This window comes from Homo sapiens, chromosome 2 (genome assembly GCF_000001405.40).
Source record: "Homo sapiens chromosome 2, GRCh38.p14 Primary Assembly".
In the NCBI taxonomy this organism is placed as follows: Eukaryota; Metazoa; Chordata; class Mammalia; order Primates; family Hominidae; genus Homo; species Homo sapiens.
Window position 1 is genome coordinate 169,966,905 of NC_000002.12, and position 25,955 is coordinate 169,992,859.

Consider the following 25,955-nt stretch of genomic DNA (forward strand, 5'->3'; position numbering starts at 1 on the left):
TAAACATTATGTACATACAGTTTTTCCTCTATTTTTGGTCTGGGTCCAAGAGTATGAATTTTGGTGGTTGATCATGATGAGGATGAAACATATTTTTGTATGTTAACTGTGTACTCAGCACTGTGATAATACATTCTGTATATTGCATTTTGTCTTGACACATCCATGAGATAGGTAGTATTATCCCACATACAGATGCCTAGGCTTAGAGAGATTAAGTAAATTTGAGGTTATACAGTAGTAAGTGTGGAACAAGAGCTATTAATCAAGAAGTTTTGCATGCTCTTTACTATTTCTTCATATTAAAGCAAATTGAGGAGAGTATGCCCCCCCCACCCCCCTACAGGGTATGCGCCCCCCGCCCCCCCCCACACACAGTTGGTAGCCTATAGATAGGAAGGGATAGATATGAGATCAATTGCAAAATAAGAATTAATAGACCTGATGGTTGGTTGAGTGCTTCAGGCACAGGATAGAAGTGATATTCTGAGTGTTGGGAAAAGTTTTATTTTTTTATTTTTAAAAAACAGAGTGAAAACACTCCATTTCCAATAGACACAGCAAAAATCCTTGCTGTGACTCTACCACTCTTGTGTGGTTGTACAGTCAGTCCCACCTAAATCGTAGGAATTGAAAAGGGTGGTGAAGGAGTGATTTTTGTCAACAAAAATTGAGGCCTGTTGTTTGTTATCAGAAAGGACAATAGCTACTGGGTGGATAAGAACAGCATCTTACATTAAGATTTCCTTTGGAAAGTAGGAGAGTCTGAGCTGAGAGCAGCCACATTGCAGGATTTGGTTGACTTTTATTGTTGTTATAGATGGAAGGAGTTGTTTTATTTAATAATACAGTTTAATTTGTGATTTGTCCTTTTATTTTTAACAGTATAAGCAAATACCTATATATTTGCTTTGTGTGCTACCATTTATATAAGAAGTAGGGCTGGAGATATGAATATATCTTCTTATATAAATATATATAATTATGTATATTGAGATATAAAATATTTAATTTTTCCTAGAGTCCCTTTCTTAGGTAAGTGTATACCTTTCTTAGGTAACACATATGTACACTTTCCCTACCTTGCTTTTTCACTTAATGTCATATCCAGGAGATCCTACCATGCAGTGTGTAGAGATACTCTTCATTCTTTTAAAAAAATTTAATATTTACAAAAATTTATACATAATAACTACATATTTATGAGGCACATGTGATATTTTGATACATGAATATGGTGTGTAATGATCAAATCAGGGTAATTAGGATGTCTGTCAGCTCAAACATTTATCATTTCTTTGTGTTAGGAACATTTCAAATCTTTTAGTTATTTTTAAATACATAATTAATTATTGTTAACTATCGTTACCCAACTGTGCTATCAAACACTATTCCTTCTATAACTGTATGTTTGTACGCATTAACCAACCTCTCTTCATATCCTCCTCCCCAACCCTTCCCAGCGTCTGGTAACCATCATTTTGCTGTCTACTTTCACAGGATTCACTTTTTAAATTCCCACATACGAGTAAGAAAAAGTGATATTTGTCTTTCTGTGCCTCGCTTGTTTCACTTAACATAATGACTTCCAGTTCCATCCATGTTGCTGTAAATGACAGGATTTCACTCTTTTTATGGCTAAATAATGTTCCATTCTATACACACACACACCCACCACATTTTCTTTGTTCATCTGTTGATAGAAACTTAGGGTGCTGTCTTCACTATTGTGATAACAATAAACATGGACACGCAGCTGGCTCTTCAATATACTGATTTCTTTTCTTTTGAATATATACCCAGCACTTGGATTGCTGGGTCATTTGGTAGATCTATTTTTACTTTTCTGAGGAACCTCCATACTGTTTTTCATAGTTGCTATACTAATTTACATTCTTACTAGTAGTATACAAGCATGCCCTTTCTCTACATCCTTGCCAGCATCTGTGATTGTTTTCTTTTTGATAATAGCTATTTTAACTGGGGTGAGATGGATGATATCTTGTTGCAGTTTTGATTTGTATTCCCAGAGGATTAATCATGTTGACCTTTTTGTTTTTTATATGCCTGTTTGGCCATTTGTATGTCTTTTTTGAGAAATGACTTATCAGATAATTTGTCCATTTTCAAATTGGATTATTTTCTGCTATTAACTTGTTTGAGTTTCTTCTGTATTCTAGTTATTAATCCTTTGTCCCATGGATAGTTTACAGATATTTTCTCTCATACTGTAGGTTGTCTCTTCACTCTGTTGATTGTTTTCTTTGCTGTACAAAAGCTTTCTAGCTGATATAACCCCATTTATCTATTTTTGCTTTTGTTGCTTGTACTTTTGATGTCGTACACAAAAAAATCTTTACTCAGACCAACGCTTTAAGCATTTCCACAGTGGTTTCTTCTAGTAATTTCATGATTTGAGGTATTAGAAAGTCTTTAATCCATTTGGATTTGATTTTTGAATATATTGAGAGATAAGGGTCTAGTTTCATTTTTCTGCTTACAGATACTTGGTTTTCCAAACATCATTTATTGAAGAGACTGTCTTTTCCCCAGCACTGAATGTTTTTGGTACCTTTGTTGAAAATCAGTTGGCTGTAAATATGTGTATTTATTTCTGTGTTCTCTATTCTGTTCCATTTGTGTCTTTTTTTTTTTTTTTTGTTAGATGGATTCTTGCTCTGTTACCCAGGCTGGAGTTCAGTGGTGCAATCTCGGCTCACTGCAAGCTCCACTTCCCAGGTTCATGCCATTCTCCTGCCTCAGCCTCCCAAGCAGCTGGGACAACAGGCGCCTGCCACCATGCCCGGCTAATTTTTTTATATTTTTAGTAGAGATGGGGTTTCACTGTGTTAGCCAGGATGGTCTCCATCTCCTGACCTCGTGATCCGCCCACCTCCGCCTCCCAAAGTGCTGGGATTACAGGCATGAGCCACCACGCCCGGCCTGTGTCTGTTTTTTATGCCAGTACCATGCTATTTTGATTAATATAGCTTTGTAGTATATTTTGATGTCAGGAAGTATGATGCCTCCAGCTTTTTTTTTTTTTTTTTTTTGGCTCAGGATTGCTTTGGCTATTCAGGATGTTTTGTGGTTCCATATCATATGAATTTTTCTATCTCTTTTTCTACCTCTGTGAAGAATGTCATTGGTATTGATAGGGGATTGCATTGTGTAGATCACTTTTGGTAGTGTGGTCATTTTCACAGTATTCTTCCAATCCATGACATGAGATGTCTGTCCATTTTTTGGTGATGACTTCAATTTCTTTCATCAGTGTTTTATAGTTTTCCTTGTAGGAGCTTTTACCTCCTTGGTTAAACTTGTTCCTAGGTTTTTTTTTTTTTTTTTTTGTAGCTGTTGTGAGTTTTTTTCTTGATTTCTTTTTCTGCTAGTTTATTATTGATGTATAGAAACACTACTGATTTTTTTTTATTATACTTTAAGTTCTAGGGTACATGTGCACATTGTGCAGGTTAGTTACATATGTATACATTGTGTCATGCTGGTGCGCTGCACCCACTAACTCGTCATCTAGCATTAGGTATATCTCCCAATGCTATCCCTCCCCCCTCCCCCCACCCCACAACAGTCCCCAGAGTGTGATGTTCCCCTTCCTGTGTCCATGTGTTCTCATTGTTCAATTCCCACCTATGAGTGAGAATATGCAGTGTTTGGTTTTTTGTTCTTGCAATAGTTTGCTGAGAATGATGATTTCCAATTTCATCCATGTCCCTACAAAGGACACGAACTCATCATTTTTTATGGCTGCATAGTATTCCATGGTGTATATGTGCCACATTTTCTTAATCCAGTCTATCATTGTTGGACATTTGGGTTGGTTCCAAGTCTTTGCTATTGTGAATAATGCCGCAGTAAACATACGTGTGCATGTGTCTTTATAGCAGCATGATTTATAGTCCTTTGGGTATATACCCAGTAATGGGATGGCTGGGTCAAATGGTATTTCCAGTTCTAGATCCCTGAGGAATCGCCACACTGACTTCCACAGTGGTTGAACTAGTTTACAGTCCCACCAACAGTGTAAAAGTGTTCCTATTTCTCCACATCCTCTCCAGCACCTGTTGTTTTCTGACTTTTTAATGATTGCCATTCTAACTGGTGTGAGATGGTATCTCATTGTGGTTTTGATTTGCATTTCTCTGATGGCTGGTGATGATGAGCATTTTTTCATGTGTTTTTTGGCTGCATAAATGTCTTCTTTTGAGAAGTGTCTGTTCACGTCCTTCGCCCACTTTTTGATGGGGTTGTTTGTTTTTTTCTTGTGAATTTGTTTGAGTTCATGGTAGATTATGGATATTAGCCCTTTGTCAGGTGAGTAGGTTGCGAAAATTTTCTCCCATTCTGTAGGTTGCCTGTTCACTCTGATGGTAGTTTCTTTTGCTGTGCAGAAGCTCTTTAGTTTGATTAGATCCCATTTGTCAATTTTGGCTTTTGTTGCCATTGCTTTTGGTGTTTTAGACATGAAGTCCTTGCCCATGCCTATGTCCTGAATGGTAATGCCTAGGTTTTCTTCTAGGGTTTTTATGGTTTTAGGTCTAACGTTTAAGTCTTTAATCCATCTTGAATTGATTTTTGTATAAGGTGTAAGGAAGGGATCCAGTTTCAGCTTTCTACATATGGCTAGCCAATTTTCCCAGCACCATTTATTAAATAGGGAATCCTTTCCCCATTGCTTGTTTTTCTCAGGTTTGTCAAAGATCAGATAGTTGTAGATATGCAGCGTTGTTTCTGAGGGCTCTGTTCTGTTCCATTGATCTATATCTCTGTTTTGGTACCAGTACCATGCTGTTTTGGTTACTGTAGCCAACATACCAGAATCTCTGGGATGCATTCGAAGCAGTGTGTAGAGGGAAATTTATAGCACTAAATGCCCTCAGGAGAAAGCAGGAAAGATCCAAAATTGACACCCTAACATTCACAATTAAAAGAACTAGAAAAGCAAGAGCATACACATTCAAAAGCTAACAGAAGGCAAGAAATAACTAAAATCAGAGCAGAACTGAAGGAAATAGAGACACAAAAAACCCTTCAAAAAATTAATGAATCCAGGAGCTGGTTTTTTGAAAGGATCAACAAAATTGATAGACCACTAGCAAGACTAATAAAGAAGAAAAGAGAGAAGAATCAAATAGACGCAGTAAAAAATGATAAAGGGGATATCACCACCGATCCCACAGAAATACAAACTACCATCAGAGAATACTAAACACCTCTAAGCAAATAAACTAGAAAATCCAGAAGAAATTGATAAATTCCTCGACACATACACTCTCCCAAGACTAAACCAGGAAGAAGTTGAATCTCTGAATAGACCAATAACAGGAGCTGCAATTGTGGCAATAATCAATAGTTTACCAACCAAAAAGAGTCCAGGACCAGATGGATTCACAGCCGAATTCTACCAGAGGTACAAGGAGGAACTGGTACCATTCCTTCTGAAACTATTCCAATCAATAGAAAAAGAGGGAATCCTCCCTAACTCTTTTTATGAGGCCAGCATCATTCTGATACCAAAGCCAGGCAGAGACGCAACAAAAAAAGAGAATTTTAGATCAATATCCTTGATGAACATTGATGCAAAAATCCTCAATAAAATACTGGCAAAACGAATCCAGCAGCACATCAAAAAGCTTATTCACCATGATCAAGTGGGTTTCATCCCTGGGATGCAAGGCTGGTTCAATATATGCAAATCAATAAATGTAATCCAGCGTATAAGCAGAGCCAAAGACAAAAACCACATGATTATCTCAATAGATGCAGAAAAAGCCTTTGACAAAATTCAACAACCCTTCATGCTAAAAACTCTCAATAAATTAGGTATTGATGGGACGTATCTCAAAATAATAAGAAATATCTATGACAAACCCACAGCCAATATCATACTGAATGAGCAAAAACTGGAAGCATTCCCTTTGAAAACTGGCACAAGACAGGGATGCCCTCTCTCACCACTTCTATTCAACATAGTGTTGGAAGTTCTGGCCAGGGCAATTAGGCAGGAGAAGGAAATAAAGGGTATTCAATTAGGAAAAGAGGAAGTCAAATTGTCCCTGTTTGCAGATGACATGATTGTATATCTAGAAAACCCCATTGTCTCAGCCCAAAATCTCCTTAAGCTGATAAGCAACTTCAGCAAAGTCTCAGGATACAAAATCAATGTACAAAAATCACAAGCATTCTTATACACCAACAACAGACAAACAGAGAGCCAAATCATGAGTGAACTCCCATTCACAATTGCTTCCAAGAGAATAAAATACCTAGGAATCCAACTTACAAGGGATGTGAAGTACTTCTTCAAGGAGAACTACAAACCACTGCTCAAGGAAATAAAAGAGGATACAAACAAATGGAAGAACATTCCATGCTCATGGGTAGGAAGAATCAGTATTGTGAAAATGGCCATACTGCCCAAGGCAATTTACAGATTCAATGCCATCCCCATCAAGCTACCAATGCCTTTCTTCACAGAATTGGAAAAAACTACTTTAAAGTTCATATGGAACCAAAAAAGAGCCCGCATCGCCAAGTCAATCCTAAGCCAAAAGAACAAAGCTGGAGGCATCACACTACCTGACTTCAAACTATACTAGAAACACTACTGATTTTTCTATGTTAATTTTGTATCCTGAAGCTTTACTGAATTTGCTTATCAGTTCTAAGAGTTTCTTGGCAAAGCTTTTAGGATTTTCTATATGTAAAGTCAAGTCATTTGCACTTAGTGACAATTTGACTTCCTCCTTTTCCATTTGGATGCCCATTATTTCTCTTGCCTAAATGCTCTGGCTAAGACTTTCAGTTCTGTGTTGGAAAAGAGTGGTGAGAGTGGGCATCCTTGTCTTGTTCCAGTTCTTGGAGGAAAAGCTTTCAGCTTTTCCTTATTCAGTATAATGTTAGCTCTGGACTTGTCATATACAGTCATCATTGTGTTGACATACCTCCATCTATACCTAGTTTGTTGAGGGTTATCATGAAGGGATGTTGAATTTTGTCAAATGCTTTTTCTGCATCTTTTGAGATGATTGTATAATTTTTGTCCTTCATTGTGTTGCTGTGATGTATCACGTTTATTGATTTGCATATGTTTAACAATTCTTGCATCCTTGGAATAAATCACATTTGATCATGGTGAGTGATCTTTTAGCTTTCTAGTATGTGTTAAGGATTTTTTGCATCTGTGTTCATCAGGGATATTGGCTTATAGTTTTTTTGTTATGTCTTTGTCTGGTTTTTGTATCATGGTAATGCTTGCCTTGTAGAATGAGTTCAGAATAATTCCCTTCTTATTTTTCTGGAAGAGTTTGAGAAGAATTGGTACTGGTTCTTTAACATTTTGGCAGAATTTAGCAGTGAAGTCATGTGGTCCTGGGCTTTTCTTTGATGGGAGACTTTTTATTACTGATTCAATCTCATTACTCAATATTTATCTGTTCAGATTTTTAATTTCTTCTTGGTTCAATTTTGGTAGGTTGTATGTGTCCAGGAATTTATCCATTTCTTTCAGGTTTTCCAATTGGTTGGCATATAGTTGTTCATAATAGTCTCTAATGACCCTTTGTATTTCCGTGGCATCGTTTGTAATGTTTCTTATTCATTTCTGATTTTATTTTGAGTCTTTTCTCATTTTTCCTTGGTTAGTATAGCTAATGGTTTGTCAATTTTATCTTTTCACAAAACCAGCCTTTCGTTTCATTGATCTTTTGCATTTTTTAACTCTCAATTTTATTTATTTCAGCTCTGATCTTTATTATTTCCTTCCTCTTGCTAATTTTAAGTTTGGTTTATTTTTGCTTTTCTGGTTCCTTGAGATACATTATTAGGTTGTTTATTTGAAATCTTTCTACTTTTTCAATGTAGGTGTTTATTGCTATAAACTTCCTTTTAATTCTACTTTTGCTGTATCCTATAGGTTTTGGTATGTTGTGTTTCTATTTTCATTTGTTTCAAGAAACTTTTAAATTTCTTTCTTAAGGCTGGGCATGGTGGCTCTTGCCTGTGATCCCAGCACTTTGGGAGTCCAAGCGGGTGGATTGCTTTAGTCCAGGAGTTCAGAACCAGCCTGCACAACATGGCAAAACCCCAAAATACAAAAATTAGCCTGGTGTGGTGGTGCATGCCTGTAGTACAGCTACTTGAGAGGCTGAGGTGGGAGGATTGCTTGATCCCGGGAGGTGGAGGTTGCAGTAAGCAGAGATCATGCCACTGTACTCCAGCCTGGATGACAGAGTGAGACCCTGTCTCAAAAAAACAACAACAAAAATTCCCTCTTAATTTCTTCCTTGATCCATTGGTTGTTCAGGAACATGTTATTTAATTTCCATGTATTTGTACAGTTTCAAAAGTTCCTCGTTATTAATTTCCAGTTATATTCCATTGTGGTCAGAAAATAAACTTGATCTGATTTAAATTCCATTAAGTTTGTTGTGACTTGTTTTTTGGCCTAACGTGATCTATCCTGGAAAATGTTCCATGTGCTAATGAAAAGAATGTGTATTCTGCTGCTTTTGTTGAAATGTTCTGTAAAAGTCTGTTAGGTCTATTTGGCTTAAAGTGCAGTTTAAATTCAGTGTTTCTTTGTTGATTTTCTGTTTAGATGATTTGTCTAGTACTGAGAGTGGGCTGTTGCCAACGATTATTGTATTGGAGTCTGTCTCTTCCTTGATATCTAATATTTGCTTTGTGTATTTGGGTGCTCTGGCATTGAGTGCATATGTATTTAGAATTGTTGTATCCTCTTGTCTGGGTGTGGTACCTTGTGTCTGTAGTCTCAGCTACCCAGGAGGCTGAGATGGGAGGATTACATGAGGCTAGGAGTTCAAGACTGCAGTATGCTATGATTGTATCTGGGCAAGAGAGCAGCAAGACTCTGTCTCTAAAAAAACAAACAGGAATTCAGAATTCCTTTTTGGATCTGCAATTATCTGGATCTGCATATATCTGGATCTGCAATTAAAAACATATATATATATATATATATATTCTCTTTTTGAACTGATCTCTTTATCATTATATAATGACCATTTTTTTCTCTTTTTACAGTTTTGGACTTAAAGCCTGTTTTATCTGCATGTTTTTCTTTTTCATTTGCTTGAAATTTTTTTTTTAATTCCTTTACTTTCAGTTTATATGTGTTTTTACTGGCAAAGTGAATTTCTTGTAGGCAGCATATAGTTGGGCCACTTTTTTTTTTTAAATCCATACAGGCAGTGTGTATGCTTTAAGTGGAGAATTTAATTGGTTTACATTCAAGTTTATTATTGATAGATGAGGGCTTTTTGTTGTTGTTAATTGTTTTCTGGTTGTGTATCCTTTGTTCCTTTCTTCCTCTCTTATTGTTTATCATTGTGTTTTAGTGATTTTCTGTAGTGATAATGTTTGATTTTTTTTTTTATTTCTACTATGTGTATCTGGTCTGCCAGTGAGTTTTATACTTTTTCATTTTTTCATGATGGTGATTATTGCATTTTTGTTTCCACATGCAGGACTCTCCTGAGCATTTCTTGTAAGTTTGGTCTAGTGGTGATGAATTCCCTCAGTTTCTCCTTGTCTAGGAGAGACTTTATTTCTCCATTATTTCTGTAGGATAGCTTTGCTGGGTGTAGTATTTTTGGTAGGCAATTCTTTTCTTTCAAAATTTCAGAACTTTGAAAATATCTATTTTTTACTGGCCTATAAGGTTTTTGCTGAGAAATCTGTTCTTAGTCTAATGGGGATTCCCTTATATGTAACTTGATGCTTTTCTCTTGCTGTTTTTAGAATTGTCTCTGTCTTTCACTTTTTACAATTTGACTTTGTTTGCCTTGGGGAGGACCTTTTTGAGTCTAATCTATTTGAGAACTTTTGAGCTTCTTGGATCTAGATGTCCATATTTCTTCCCAGGCTTGGGAATTTTTCAGGTGTTACTGGTTTTCTATGCCATTTTTATCTCTTCTTAATTGTTCACTTAATGGTGTTCCATAAATCTTATAGGCTTTTTTCACTCTTGTATTCTTTTCCCCCTCAAGTAATTTTAAATGACTTATCTTCACGTTCAGAGATTCCTTTTTCTACTTGATCAAGTCTGCTGTTGAAGCTTTCTGTGGTATTTTTTTGTTTGATTTATTCAGCTGTTTGTTTGGTTCAACTCTTTTGGATTTTTGTTTGGTTCTTTTTCATGATATCTGTCTCTTTGTTGAATTTCTTATGCATAAGAAATTTTCCTGATTCTATTGAATTATATATCTGTATTTTCTTGTATCTAATTGAGTTTCCTTAAAATTCGTCTTTTGAATTTTTTTTCCTGGCAATTTGTTGATTTCCTTTTCATTTGGGTCTGTTACTAGAGAGATACGAAGTTCAAAATCTATATTAGGTTTTTCCAGAGGGACAGAAATGGTAGGATATGTATATATGAAAGGGAGTTTACTGGGGAGAATTGGCTTACATAATTACAAAGGTGACATCCCATGATCGGCCATCTGCAAGCCGGGGGATGAGAAAAGCTAGTACCATGGTTCATTCCAAGTCTAAAACCCTCAAAACCAGAGAAGCTGACAGTACAGTACCCGGTCTGAGACTGAAGGCCTGCAAACCCCCAAGAGTCTTTTGTTACAGGTCCCAAAGCCCAAAGGCCAAAGAACCTGTGTCAAATGTCCAAGGGCAGGAGGAGAAAAGGTGTTCTGCTCTGGGAGGGAGAGAGAGAGAGGAAACCAAGCAAGCTGAATATCACCCTTCTGCCTGCTTTGTTCTAGCTTTACCCACAGTCTGTTGGATAGTGCTCGCCCACAATGATGGCAGATGTTCCTCTTTCATTCACTGACTCACATGTCATTCTCCTCTGGAAAACCCTCACAGACACACCCAGAAACAATGTTCCACCAGCCATCTAGGCATCCCTCAATGCAGTCAAATTGACACCTCGTATTAGCCATCAGTTCATTTTGTCGTGTCATATTTCCTTGCTTTTTCATGTTTCTTATGTCACTGCATTGATATCTGTACATCTTGTGGAATTGTTGTGTCTTCTGAACTTCCTAGATTGGCTTTTGTAGAGAATGATTCACCTGCAGTTGAATCTTAGTGTGCTGGCTGGGAAAGATGTGGTGACTCTGTTTCTGGGTGGGTATAGTGGTATAACTTCCATGCAGCTTCTCTGGTGGTGTTCAACATCAGCAATAACTGTGGCCTAGGCTATAGAAGTTTGTGGTAGCAGCAGTGGTGACATAGGCTGTTAATGTCCTTGGTGGCAAGGCCTTTTGGGCTCCGCCTATTCTCATTTTCTCCACAGTGGGGAGACTTACCCAAGGGGATCCCTCTTGGTGTCATGTCTTTCATGGACTGTGAGTACCAGTAGCAGCGCTGGGTTCCAGGTGCAGGTGCTTGGAGGGGCTGTGGGGCCTGGGTTTCATGAACCTATTATGGCACTTGGGTCTTGGCGTGACATTTTGCTCTCTGTTGTAGGGGTAGATTTAGGTTGCCACAGAGTCAGGATCTGTGACTCTGAGGCACCTTCTAGCAGCTTGGATTCAGGGAGTTGGGTTGTTTACCCCGGGGGAACAGGTCACATCTTGCCTCTGGGGAAGAAAGGGTGCTCCTGAGGTTTGAGCCCAGGGTGCAGGGTATAGCCACTATTTGGGAGTCTGAGCCAGTAGGGCTTAGTAGCAGCCATGTCCCTGGGGATGTAGTACTGTGTAGTGGTTACCTTAGACCCTGTGATGGTGGGGCTTGGCAGTATCCCAGACTCTGTGATCCCAGGTGCAGTGTCAGCAAGTATGTCAGAATGGCCAAATACAGATGTCATTTGGGCCCTTGAGGGTTATGGAGCAGCACAGCAGGGAGTCCACTCCCCATGGAGAAGGGTGTCTCAGCAGCTCAGACTCTAGGGGCTAGTCTAGCTCCAGGGAAGCAAGTTACTAGAGTTGTTTGACCTGTATGGAGGAATGTCTCAGCTCAGCCACTGCTCTGTTTTCCTGGGATGAGGGGTGTTATATCGGCCTAGCCCTAGGCTCTGTAGCTCAGCCAGGGCATCAGTTCCCCAGGAGGTATTGTACTGTTAAGAGAATGAAATGATAAGCCATAGACTGAGAGGAAATATTTGCAAAACACACATCTGATAAAGGACTGGTATTCAAAAGATATAAATAATTCAACAATAAGAAAACAAATAACCTAGTTTTTAAAATGAGCAGAAGATCTGAACAGACACCTTACAAAGAAGATGCAAGAATGGTAAATAAGTATGTCAAAAGATGCTCAGCATCATTATCATTAGGGAAATGCAGAGTAAAACAACAGTGAGATACCACTACATGGCTATGGCGAAATCCTGAAATCTGACACTACCAATTTTTTGTGAGAATACAGAGCAGTGGGAACTCTAATTCATTGATGGTTGCAATTCAAAATGGTACGGCTGCTTTGGAAGAGTCTGGCATTTTCCTGTAAAGCTAAGCTTAATCTTACCATATGATCCATCACTTGTGCTCTTAGATATTTATTTAACTGATTAAAAAACTTATTTCCACACAAAAAATCTTCATACTTATTTTTATAGCAACTTTATTTATAATTGCTCAGAATTGGAAGCAGCTAAGATGTCCTTCCATAGATGAATGGATAAAGAAACTGTGGCACATACGTATAATGAAATACCGTCCAGCAATAAAAAGGAATGAACTATTAAGCCACATGAAGACATGGATGAATCTTAAATACATACCGCTTAGTGAAAGTAGCCAATCTGAAAATATTACATACTGTGTGTTTCCAGTTATATGACATTCTGGAAAATGCAAAACTAGAGACAGTAAATAGATCACTGGTTGTCAGGGTTGAGGCACAGGTGAATAAATGAAACATGGGAGTTTTTTTAGAGCATTGAAATTATTCTGTGTGACACAGTAAAGTTCGATATGTAACACTGTTAAAACCCTTAGAACTTTATAGCAGAAAGAGTGAATCTTTAAAGTATGTATATTTTAAAAAATCATTTAGGAGTTGGGGTGATCCCAGGATGGAATGCAGACTATGACAGGAGAATATAACTGTATTACAGATGTATGAACTTGTGATGTATGAAACAACCTCACTGAAAAGAGTAGGGGGAAAGGTGCTGGCTACCTAACTTTGGAAATAAATAGCAACAATAAGACTAAAGGCAAAAGAAACTGTGTATAACCAGTGAATAAAAGTTTCCCCATGGCATCATGAGTTAACAATTCTGAAACCACTATACGTATATACTGAGGTTGAACAATTAAGTAAATGAATGGCAGATGATGAGAGCTGGATTTCTCGCCGTTGGAGTAAGAAGTTACAGATAAGGGGAGAAGGCTAGAATGATTCATGTGATAATAATGGATTAGAGTTGGAGACATTAGTATGAACTCATGTTTAGACAGCTCTAGATAAAGATGGAATTATATATGTATAAATACAGGCATATGCATATGCATGAGTTAGTGTACAGACACGTAGTCCCTTCTTTTGTCAGCTGAAAGGGCCTAGAAGCAAGGACATCCCAGTAGAAACTGGAATGGGGAGTTATATTCCACCTCCTTGAGGGTAAAGGCACTATATAAAATATTTGGCATTCTTCTGCTAAGGAAACTTATCTGTGTTCCCTTGTTTATTTGTTCGTTCATTTATATTAGTATGTACTCATGGATATTTCCCAGGTACAAGCACACCCATTGCCCAGATCTTGGTTTCTTTTTTTTTTTAATTATACTTTAAGTTTTAGGGTACATGTGCACAAAGTGCAGGTTAGTTACATACGAATACATGTGCCATGCTGGTGTGCTGCACCCATTAACTCATCATTTAGCATTAGGTATATCTCCTAATGCTATCCCTCCCCCCTCCCCCCTCCCCCCGATCTTGGTTTCTAATACAGTCCCCTCCTCCCTTGCTGAAAAGAGGAACTAGGGTCCTTGGAGGCATGGTTGATTTTTAAGAACTGGGGCAGGGAACATGCAGGGTGGATCTGGTGTATCTCATAGGGCCAGAAAGTAGAGGGGTACTCAAAAACAAACAACCCCCACCCCCTCTAGTGATGATATGGGCTGGGGCTATGTCAAGGGGCACAGGAGTCAACTGAGAGTTTCCAGTGGCCAAAGCTGGAACAATTTGAGCAACAAAGTAAAGTATAATGCATTATAACCCTGAGTATAAAAGAAATATCAATGAGTATATACTAGTATAAATGATTGAATAAATAAGGTAGCATAGAGAAGTTTCCTATGCAGAAGAATACCTAGTATTTTATGTAGAGCCTTTACCCTCAAGGAGGTGGAATATAACTCCCCACTCCTTAAGTGTGAGCTGCATGTAATGGCTTCTTGGTGTGGAAAGGGGGAAAAGAGTTATTTTACAGTAGAGAAACTTGGGAAACATCTTAACCAGGTGATCAAGGTCAGCATCAGCAGTGGTAATTCATGTTAATATTATGTACCCTTGATATGATGTGATGAGAATGATGCTTCTGTGATCTTCCTCTCTAAAATCGATAACCTTAGACTAATCATGAGAAAAACATCAGACAAATCATAATTGAGGACTGTTATGCAAATACCTGGATACTACTCCTCAAAACTGTCAAGTTCATCAAAGCAAGGAAACAAGGAAAGTCTGAGAAACTGTCACAGTTTCTTCTTAGAAGAACATAAGGAGACATAACAACTAAATGTAATGTGGTATCCTGGGATGGAAAAAGGACATTGGATAAAAATGAAGGAAGCCTGAAAAAAGTTGGACTTTAGTTAATTTGTCAATATTGTATCAATAAAAATTAATATATATTCATTAATTCTAACAGTCATACCATGCTAATGTAAAGTTTAAGATGAAACTGTGGGGGGGAGGGTACATGTAGTATCTGCAAATCTAAAACTATTATAAAATGGGAAGATTATTTTTTAAAAAAGAAAGCGAATACTCTATACACCAACTAAAAAAAGAGGAAAGCAAGAATGATAATAAAAATGATGACTAATTGAAGATAATACTGTAAATCCTTATCAAAATTAATGATAGTGTGCAGTGGGAGTTTTGCAGTATTGGCACTTATCTGAGGGAAGTCAGACTTCTTAGCAGAAATCAGGGAACTCTGGTAGTGTACTTAGTTTATGAATAGTAACTCACCTGCTAGGTTAGTAGCAAGTACTTCTCAGTTGTTTTTAAAAATTAAATTGTGTTAAAAAATTTAAAATTTTCTATTAATGTATGCAATAAAAATTCTCTGTGCCTGCCACTGGGCTGCAAACCAGCTACTTGTGTTTTGCAGTTGCTTATTCCTCTTTCAAATAAAAATGTATTTCACATGATTTTGAGGGCACCGAATACATCATCCCTATATCATTTCCCCATCCTTCCATTCAGCCACAAAACCCACAAACATGAAAGCAAAACATGAAGCAAGAAGATTTTTGATTGTTCTATAAATACTTATTTTAGTTTAAATTAATCTAATTAATTTATAAATATAAAGGTTAAGAAAGGCAAAGGCTATTTTGTAATTAAAGATTAATTTTATATTAAAATAGGCTCTAACTATTTTTAACAAATATTAGAACAGGAAATTTTATGTAACAGTGTAAACTCTTGAAGTAGAACTGTGGTATTTGTGAATATGGAAGCTTTTCACTCTGATGATGTTAAATTAATGGTTGTAAAATAAGTAGATATTAAAGATAAAAATCATTTTGGAAAATGATTTTTTTAATTCCTTAGACTAGAAAATATTCCAGACGGAAACACCTTTATTACTTTAAATATTAGTTTTCATGACTCATCTTGGTAAGGCAAAGTACTTCAATTCTTTTGAGTTTCTATATTATAATTAACATACAGTAGAATTATTATATTAGTTAGCAATTGTTGTGTAACTAGCTGTCCCCCAAAATTTAGTGATTTAAAAAAACAACCCCTAGTTAGTTTTCATCAGTCAATGAGAAGACTCAGTGGTTCTGTTGTGAACCAAACTTTTCTGGAGAAGGCTTAGCTGATCTCATCACCCACAGACCCATGGGCTGAATTGTGGGTCTGTGATCTGCTGATTGGTTAACAGGGGGCTGCCATGAGCTGGTGAGACAACTTATGTGTGTTCCATTTGGTCTCTCCTCCTCTGGCAAGGTAGCCCACCTTGACTTATTCTCATGGAGATGGTAGAGTTGAGAGAGTGAGAGCGAGAGAGAGAAACTATGCAAGGTGGAGTTGAGAGTGAGAGCAAGAGAGAGAAACTGTGCAAGGTGGAGTTGAGAGTGAGAGCAGGAGAGAGAAACTATGCAAGATCACCTGAGGCCTAGTTTTGGAAGGCATATTGTTGTTTTTGCCACATTCTCTCTCCTTTTTTTTTTTTTTTTTTTTTTGAGATGGAGTCTCACTCATTCTGTCACCCAGGCTGTAGTATGGTGGTGTGATCTTGGCTCACTGTAGCCTCCGCCTCCCAAGTTCAAGTGATTCTCTTGTCTCAGCCTCCTGAGTAGCTGGGATTACAGGCACGCATCACCACACCCAGCCAATTTTTGTATTTTTAGTAGAGATGGGGTTTTGCCATGTTGTCCAGGCTGGTCTTGAGCTCCTGGCCTCAGGCAATCCACCTGCCTCGGCCTCCCAAAAGTGCTGAGATTATAGGTGTGAGCCACTGCGCCCATCCTCCACATTCTCTTCATTAAAACAAGTCAAGGCCAGCTGATATTCAAGGAGTGGGGAAATAAACTCTCTCTTGATGGGAGGAATTACAGTATCACATTGTGAAGAGCATGGATACAGGGAGGAGTGGAGAATTGGGGCCATCTTGCGGTCATTTGGCTAAGTGTAATAGCATTCAGAAGAATCAGCTGCTTCATTCAGATAGATTCTTTTCTGTTCATGTAAAACCAAACAGATAAATTAACTATTGCTTTAGTTATCTTTTTTGTATTTATTGTAATAATATCAATTATGGTAATTTAAGTAGTACTTTTGTTCTAAAAGGGCAAATGTGAATTTTATACAGAAACCCTTTGAATTTGAATTGAACTGAAAGTTAAAGTAGAACTTAAGAATTCCAGGGTTATTTGGTAGCAAGAATATTTTCATTATTAGTCTCTAGTAACACTTGGATTTGTCATCTTTGACTATTACTCTATCAGTTTTGCATCTTTTATTCATTTAATTTACCTAGATTGTAAATCATTGTAATTTTTTCATTGCCTCAATTTGCATGGCACATCATTTAGATTTTTTTTTTAGTGTGGAAAATATGTGCAGATATTGATGTGTGCATTAAGTACCTTTATTATAATACTTGTTACAGAATATACCAAGTTACTCATTTAGAGTAGGGGTTTTTAAAAGAAACCTTTTTATTGAAATATACTCATAATGCATGTTTCAGGATTTTAGAGCTCTTTGAGTTTTAACAAACAGATTGTGACTGTATAACTGAATCCAGATTGAGAAACCAGCATCCAAATTGAGAAATAAAAATTACTAGCATCCCATAAGCTCCCTTCATGGTCTCTTTCTGTCACTGCTTCTTCCAAGAGTAACCAGTATCATTACTTGTGACTCTGTATATTAGTTTTTCATGCTTTTGTTCTTTAACAATTTACATACAGTATGTACTTTTTTGGGGCCTGTCTTCTTTCAGAATAGGTTATTTATTTTTTCATATCTCACAGATAAGTGAGAAACTATAATCACATTTAAATACAGCATTTAATTTGGACACAGATCCTTTTTAAATCTTACTAAAAATGTCAGAATTTGGTACTGGAATGATAGAATCAACCATATATTACCAATAACATTTTAATTCAACATAGGATATAAAAAGCTGTGACTTTTCCTCCTCTTTTCAGAAATAAACCATGATCCTAGTTTCTTGAAGAAAAAAAGGGACATTGGTGTCTGTAATTTTTAAAGTCAGATTTCAAATAAAAAGTACTCTGCATGAAAATGAGTTCACCTATTTTATTTTCATGCCATTGGTACTGTATCACCATTGAAGATTGTCATTGAAGTTTCTTTTAAAAACTAGAAAAGATGACTTAGCAGCATCTTGGATAATGTATTTTGGCATCAGGGTTTCCTTGAGGTTTTCAAGTCGATTGTACCAAGACTTATTAAAAAAAAAAAGATCTTTATGTGTGAGATAGGGTCAATGAAATTGTATTTCTTTGGCACTTAACACGAGACTGAGTTATTTCACTGTACTTTGTCAGGTATCTCTGTGTTCTCCTTTGCACTTGAGAGCAGACAATTTCTTTTTTCTGCATGGTTTTCTCTTCTCTTTTCTCCCTAAGACCCAAAGTAGTCTCATATCAACTCTTTTCTTTTTTTTTTTTTTTTTTTCTGAGACGTAGTTTCACTCTTGTTGCCCAGGCTGGAGTGCAGTGGTGCGATCTCGGCTAACTGCAACCTCTGCCTCCTGGGTTCAAGTGATTTTCCTGCCTTAGCCTTCCAAGTAGCCAGGATTACAGGTGCCTGCCACCATGCCTGCCCAATTTTTTGTATTTTTAGTAGAGACAGGGTTTCACTATGTTGGCCAGGCTTGGTCTCAAACTCCTGACCTCAGGTGATCCGCCCGCCTCAGCCTCCCAAAGTGCTGGGATTATAGGCATGAGCCACCATGCCCGGCCTCATATCAACTCTTAATGGCTTCTGGTACTTTTTTCTTTTGAAATCTTCTTTTCATTTTGACCTACTAGTGTATTTTCCTAGACATTGTGATTTTTGGTTTGATTCTATTCAGGTACTGTTTTTGTTTTTGTTTTTGTTTGCTAATTTCTTTGTGGCATCTTTTTATTTCCATTAATACTAGGCATTACCCAAAGTTCTATTTTAGGTTACTGTCCCTTTTCCTCTCAGTCATTCTTCATAAGTATCAGATGTGTGTATATCTGCATGAATTCTTATTTTAAAATATCTAAACTTGACTTTTTTCTCATTTCTGACGTGTATTTTTACATATTTACTTAGATGTGCCTCCATCTTTTAAACATTTCATAAAGCACTTCTGCTTCCCTGTTCTTCCCAGTCTCTTCCACCTATTTCTTTGTCACCAGTGGCAGCATCACTTATCTTCGTGAATTTAAGTGTCTTTATCTGTAAATAATTATTAACTCAATATTTTATTTTTTGCTATTAGTAACATTATATCACCAGAGGATTACTGCTATTTTTGATGAGTTCTGCTTTATTCATATATAATATGGTCATATCTTTATGATTTCCCTACATTAAAAAACATATTGATAGCTACTATTTCTGAGATATAATCACTAGAATTGAGAGTGAGAAAGAAATAGTTTTTTTCTCTTTTATATTCTAGTAAATACTACCATATTTTCCCAAGAGCTGTCATGTTGTTGTGAATAACCCCTTAGGTGCCTCAAGGAAAATTAAAACAAACATCTCCCTTCTTTCTGTAACATGTTATTTTAAAATATTTCTCTTTTGATACAAATATCTTTGCCTCTATGTTTTCTGTATCTATTTTATATTTGAATGATACAACATTAGAAGTGTATTTAACCATATTTTAGTTTAAATCTTTCATTATTAAAGTCTTTGCATTATTTTATCTGTCTAAATATTTTACTTGAGTAAGGTTATTTTTTCCACAGTTTTATTACTGTATACTTTATTGATATTGAAGCTAAAAATTGTTTGAACTTGATTTTTCTCTCACACTTTCATTGAAGAGAGATTTTCCTCCTAAGGAATTAAAGAGATGTAACTTTTTTCCCTCAGATTCTCCTGAGAATGATATTCCTATGGAGATCACCACGGCAGAACCACAGGTTTCCGAGGCAGTATATGACTGTGTTATTTGTGGACAGAGTGGCCCCTCCTCTGAAGATCGACCTACTGGATTAGTTGTACTGTTACAAGCATCCTCAGGTAAAATCAAAGTAATTTTTTCATGGGAACATTTTAGAGCTGAAGTATATACAACAGATTAATAAATATCTGTATTAAATGAAAATTATATCTTTGTCTACTTATAACTAGGCAAGGGTCAGTTTAGATCCAAATAACAAAGATTCTTTATCGGTTATATCTTATTTTCCTGGACATGAGTGTTAGAAGAAACTCCTAACAGAGATCTTGCTGTATGGTTTCACAATTTTTTTCTTTAAAGTGTGATGGTATATTACCAATGCTAGGTGGCCAATAACTGCGTTCAGCTTTCTTGGTAATTATAATTGTTCTGGCCGGGTGTGGTGCCTTGCATCTGTAATTCCAGCACTTTGGGAGGCTGAGGTGGGCAGATCACCTGAGGTCAGGAATTCAATACTAGCCTACATGGCCAACATGGTGAAACCCCGTCTCTACTAAAAATATAAAATATTGGCCGGTGTGGTGGAGGGCGCCTGTAATCCCAGCTATTTGGGAGCCTGAGGCAGGAGAATCGCTGGAACCTGGGAGGCAGAGGTTGCAGTGAGCTGAGATTGTACCACTGCACTCCAGCCTGGGTGACAGAGCAAGACTCTGTCTCAAAAAAAAAAAAAAAACAAAAAAAAAACAAAAACAATTGTTCTAAAATCTGGGAAACTCCTTAGCCCATAAATATTGTCAGTTTTTAATTACACAAGGCATATTTAGACAGCTCTGCCTTTATTTGTTCAAACAGTCTGTGAATTGGTATGTTTAGCAGTCTATAGTTTTAAACTATATAATTTTATTATAAATTATAAATATAATTTTAAAAGTTTGAAGGATTTGTCTGAATGGTGTCCATTGTCTTCCATAATGAAGTATTTTTGAGGGTAGTGATAATTCTTGTACAATCTAGTCACAATAAATTTAATCCTTTTCCAACAAGAGTATGTGTAAAATAAAGAGAAAAAAAATTCTTACATATTTCTCCAGAGGATTATTTTCTAGGGTGTTAACTCTCTGAATTAGTAGGGTAAAGTGGAAAGAGTTAGATATTAGAAACTCCCCTGAATTCAAATATGGTATTGGTTTACTTACTGTGGCCAAATATGTTTTTTTCTTTTATGTAGAGAGCTCATATTGACTTTAGAGGATTTTTGTATTGGTTAAGCAATGTAATATAAACAAAAAGAATCCAATATGATGCCTAGTAAATTCGTTTCTTCTGTTACTCTTCTTGCCTAAAATGAATTGATTTGGGAAATCTTGATTTAGTGGGACATTGAAGTAGAGCTGTCCAAATCAGAAATGCTTACTGAAAGGGAAATGTGTGGAAGTATTAACTACTTTTACAGCTACTTTTCCTTTTTACTACTCTTAGGAAAGCAGTTTATTAGATTATTGCCAATTGACTTTCAACTTCGTGATTAAATACTATATAGTTATCAATGTAATGATTTGTTTTATTCATTAATTTATTTCATAGATATTTATTGAGCTCCTAGGTGTCAGGCACTGTTCTAGTAAGAGACAAAACAAAATCCCTGCTCCAGTGAAACTTATGTTCTTGTTTTAAGCTTTTATTTGTTCATTATTTTATGTTTTTAAGTTTATTTGGTCTGTTACTTTTTAAAGTCTCTTTTAAACAATTGTATATGCTAGCTAGACCAATAAATATTAAACAATTCCACTATACTGTAGCTGCCTTATCCCTTAGAGATAGAAGGAAAAAAATAAGAAACTAATATTGCCAGGACACAGTGGTTCACGCCTGTAATTCCAGCATTTTGGGAAGCCAAGGTGGGAGGATTGCTTGAGTCTAGGAGTTCAAGACCAGCCTGGGCAACACAGTAAGACCCTGTCTCTACAAAAAGTAAAATTAGACAGGTGTGGTGATGTGCACCTGTGGTCCCAGCTACTCAAGAGGCCAAGGTGGGAGGATTGCCTGAGCCCAAGAGGTCGAGGTTGCAGTGAGCTGAGATTGCACTCTAGCCTGCGTGATAGAGTAAGACCCTATCTTTAAAAAAATTAAAAAAGAAAAAAAGAAACTGACATTAAAGAGTATTAAAACTCAGGAATAATTTTAGTATAATAGGTGAATTCTCTAGCTGTTTCCTTCTTTACCATCTAAGCCTTATCCACCCATTGATACTTTCCCCCTTTTACCCCTTTTTTCTCTGGGCTGCTTTATTTTGATTCATTTCTTCTCTTTTAGATTTGAATATGGAAAATTTTTAACAGTATGCTAAGGAGATGTGCAAAGTGAACCCCCATGTCCCCATCTATCTTCAACAGTGATTAATTTCTGGCTAATTTTATTTCATTTGTTCCCTCCTTATTAGAATTATTTCGAAGCAGATTTTAGACATCATATAATTTCATCTGTAAAAAATTCAGTGTTTCTGTTAAAAAGAAAGGTCTTGTTTTTTAAACATAACCACAGTCAGTCCTAAATAAATTCTTCAGTATCATCAAACATCTAGTCAGTGTTTAAAATTTTCCCATTGTCTCTATTTATTTATTTATTTTGCTTAATTTATTTATAGTTGCAGTATTCCTTTGTGGTCTTTTAATTAATAGATCCACTCTCCCTCTATCTTTACCCCCTCCTCCCATCATTTTACTTTTTTAAAGAAATTGGATCATTGAAAACCAATTTGGATTTTTCAGAATGTTGCTGTGATGTTTAACATATTCCTCTGTTCCCTCTGTTTTCTCTCTGTGAGATTAGTAGGAAGTGATGATTACTGCCTAAATCCATCAGTTGATCAGAGATTACAAATCTCTTTCATGTTTTTTGTTGTTGTTTATTAGCTGACATATACTTCTATAAAAGAAATTTCACTTCATCACCTATTTTTTGTTGCTCTGAGATACAGATTACACAGGAAAGGCAGGGTAGACATAGTATTCTTTCCTTTTATTTACAGGTGCTCAAAATATTGAGATAGTGGGGTTTAAAAATCATTTTCTAAAGATAATTAGTACTTTCAGGTATCATTAGTGAACTGTTTTTAATCATTATGAACTCTATTAATAACTCTATAGTTACTTTCTTGTTGATGCTCGTGTTCTTCCATCTTTGTTCACTGAGAGCTTATTCGAGTTGTCTCCTGAGTTCTTTTGATACAAGGCTAGAGTAGTAAGTAGCCTTGGGTCTTTCTACATTTTTTGGTGTGGCAAGTTACAATAAATTTATCTTACACATTTCCTGCCCTGAAATCAGCAATCTCTCAAAGAAGCATTAGTTCCTTTTTAGTGGGAAATGGTATTTAGAGACAAAAGTCTGGATGCTAGGTGTGCTTATTGTTCTAGATCTTTTTAGTGTTCACTGATACTTTATTGCCATGTTCTTCAAACCATGTATTAAAGAAAAGTCTCATGCTTTTAACTCTTTATTTTTATATTTGATTTATGCTAAATTACAGACTTTTGATTAGGAACCCTTCAAAACACTGCTTAATTAAGGGCCTTTAAGTACATTTATCTACATGGAAAGATATTAATTTATGTGCCATCTCATTATTGCTCAGAATGCCTGTTGTAAACATTACTGATTTGGGGAGCTTCAGTTCTCCATAGGAGAATAATACAATATTATATAGTCTTTTCATTTTACTAAACCCTACAATCTTTGCAAAGATTCAGAAAGTCCAAAGTTGCAAAGATTCAGAAAGAGCAGTTAGTTTTCATAGCACTTCAAAAATATATATAATAAAAGAAAGTAAATCCGGAAAGAACTGTATATCTAGATTTGTAAACCAAATAATAATGTTCTTGTTTGTGGAAGAGTGTAGGCATTGAGATAGAAACACAAAGGGAAGGGGGATGGAGGAGTTTTTGTATATTTCTGAAATGAAGTAGATATTTATTTAAATTTGATTGTTACAAAGTGAAGATGTTAATTCTAATCCCTGGGGTAAACACTATAAAAAAAAGTTATACACACACACACACACACACACACACACACACATAAAAGAAAAGAGAAGGGAATCAAAATTTTATACCAGAAAATTCAATTAATTACAGAAGAAGGCAGTAATCAATTAAAGAAGAAATAGAAAACAAATAGCAAAAAGGAAGAATTAATTTTTTTTTAAAGTTAATAATTACTTAAAATATAAATGCATTAAACTGCCCAGGTAAAAGGCAGAGGTTGACAGAATGAATTTTTAAAAATGTGATGCTACAAGAGATTCACTTTAGATCCAGAGACACAATAAGTTGAAAGTGAAAGGATGGGAAAAGATTCCATGCAAATAGTAACCAAAAGAGAGCTGGGGTGGTTATAGTATGAGACAAAATAAACTGTAAGTTAAGAATTGTTACAAGAGACAAAGAAGGAGATTATATATTGATAAACAGCCAATCCATCATGAAGGTATTATAAACATATATGCTCCAAACAACAGAGCCCCCAATGTAGGAAGCAAAAATGGACAGAATTGAAGGGAGAAATAGATACTTCTAAAATAATAATTGGAGACTTTATAGAACAACTAGACAGAAGATCAGAAAGGAAACTGAATACTTGAGCAACACTGTAAAACAACCAGACCTAACAGACTTATATAGAACACTCCACCCAATAACAGTGGAATATATATTTTTCTCAATGGTATATGGAACATTATCCTAGGTAGACCATATGTTAGGCCACAAAACAAGCCTCAATAACATTTTAAAAGATTGAAATTATTCAAAAAATTGTCTGTGGTCATAATGGAATGAAACTAGCTATGAATAACAAAAGGAAACCTGGGAAATTCACAAGTATGTGGAAATTAAACAACATACTCTTTATTTTATTATTATTATTTTTTTGAGATGGAGTCTCACTCTGTCATGCAGGCTGGAGTGCAGTGGCGTGGTCTCGGCTCACTGCAAGCTCCGTTTCCTGGGTTCACACCATTCTCCTGCCTCAGCTTCCCAAGTAGCTGGGACCACAGGCGCCCGCCACGATGCCTAGCTAATTTTTTGTATTTTTAGTAGAGATGGGGTTTCACTGTGTTAGCCAGGATGGTCTCGATCTCCTGACCTTGTGATCTGCCCACCTCGGCCTCCCAAAGTGTTGGGATTACAGGTGTGAGCCACCGTGCCTGGCCTAAAACAACATACTCTTAAACAACCAATGGGCCAAAGAATAAATTACAAATGAAATTAGAAAACACTTTGAGGTGAAGGAAAATGAAAATGCAACATACCCAAACCTTTAGAATGCAGTGAAAATGGGGAAATTTACAGCTGTAAATGCATACATTAAAAAAGATTCAAATAACTAAAATCAGAAATGAAATTATTGACTTTACTACAGACCTCACGGAAATAGAAAGGATTATAGGAGAATACTATGACCAATTTATGCCAAAAAATTAGATGACGTGGATTAAATGAATGATTTCCTACAAATATACAAACTACCAAATGGACCCAAGAAGTAATAAAAAGTTTGAACATATTAATAACAAAAAGATTGATTCAGTAATTTTTAAAAATCTGACAGTGAAAAGGACTGGACCAGATGGCTTCACTGGTGAATTCTATCAGTCATTTAAAGAATTAACACCAATGCTTCTCAAACTTGTCCAAAAAATAGAGGAGTGAACACTTCCCAACTTATTCAGAGGCTAGCATTCTATGAGGCTAGCTTTGATACCAAAGCCAGATAAACACAGGAAAACAGTAGACCAATATCCCTTATGAGTATACATGCAAAAATTCTCAACAAAATTCTAGCAAACTGAATGCAGCAGCATATTAAGAGGATTATGCATCATGGTAATTATATTTTAGCTGGTAGCATCTACCAGCTTTTGTCTCTTATTTCTGTTGCTGTTATAAATCCTTGCAAAACTTAAGGCCCGCAGTGATAAACCTATTATTCCCTTTTTTAAGAGCAGCTCTTCTGATGCACACATCATGACATTTTATCTGTAAATACTTTAGAATATAACTCCTAAGAACAAGGTTATTCTTTTTTAAAAATTTCTTATATATATTTTGAGACAGAGTCCCTCTCTGTTGCTCAGGCTAGAGTGCAGTGGCACGATCTCAGCTCACTGCAACCCCAGCCTCCCAGGCTC

The 25,955-nt window shown here is 36.3% G+C and overlaps 1 protein-coding gene across 1 annotated transcript in view; it reads left to right on the plus strand.

The window, feature by feature from the left end:
• Positions 1-25,955, plus strand: part of UBR3 (ubiquitin protein ligase E3 component n-recognin 3) — a 256,678-nt gene that overhangs the window by 139,451 nt on the left and 91,272 nt on the right. The window contains exon 25 of the mRNA NM_172070.4: positions 19,741-19,890. Within this exon, the coding sequence (NP_742067.3) occupies positions 19,741-19,890 (150 nt within the window). The remainder of the gene's footprint in view (positions 1-19,740; positions 19,891-25,955) is intronic.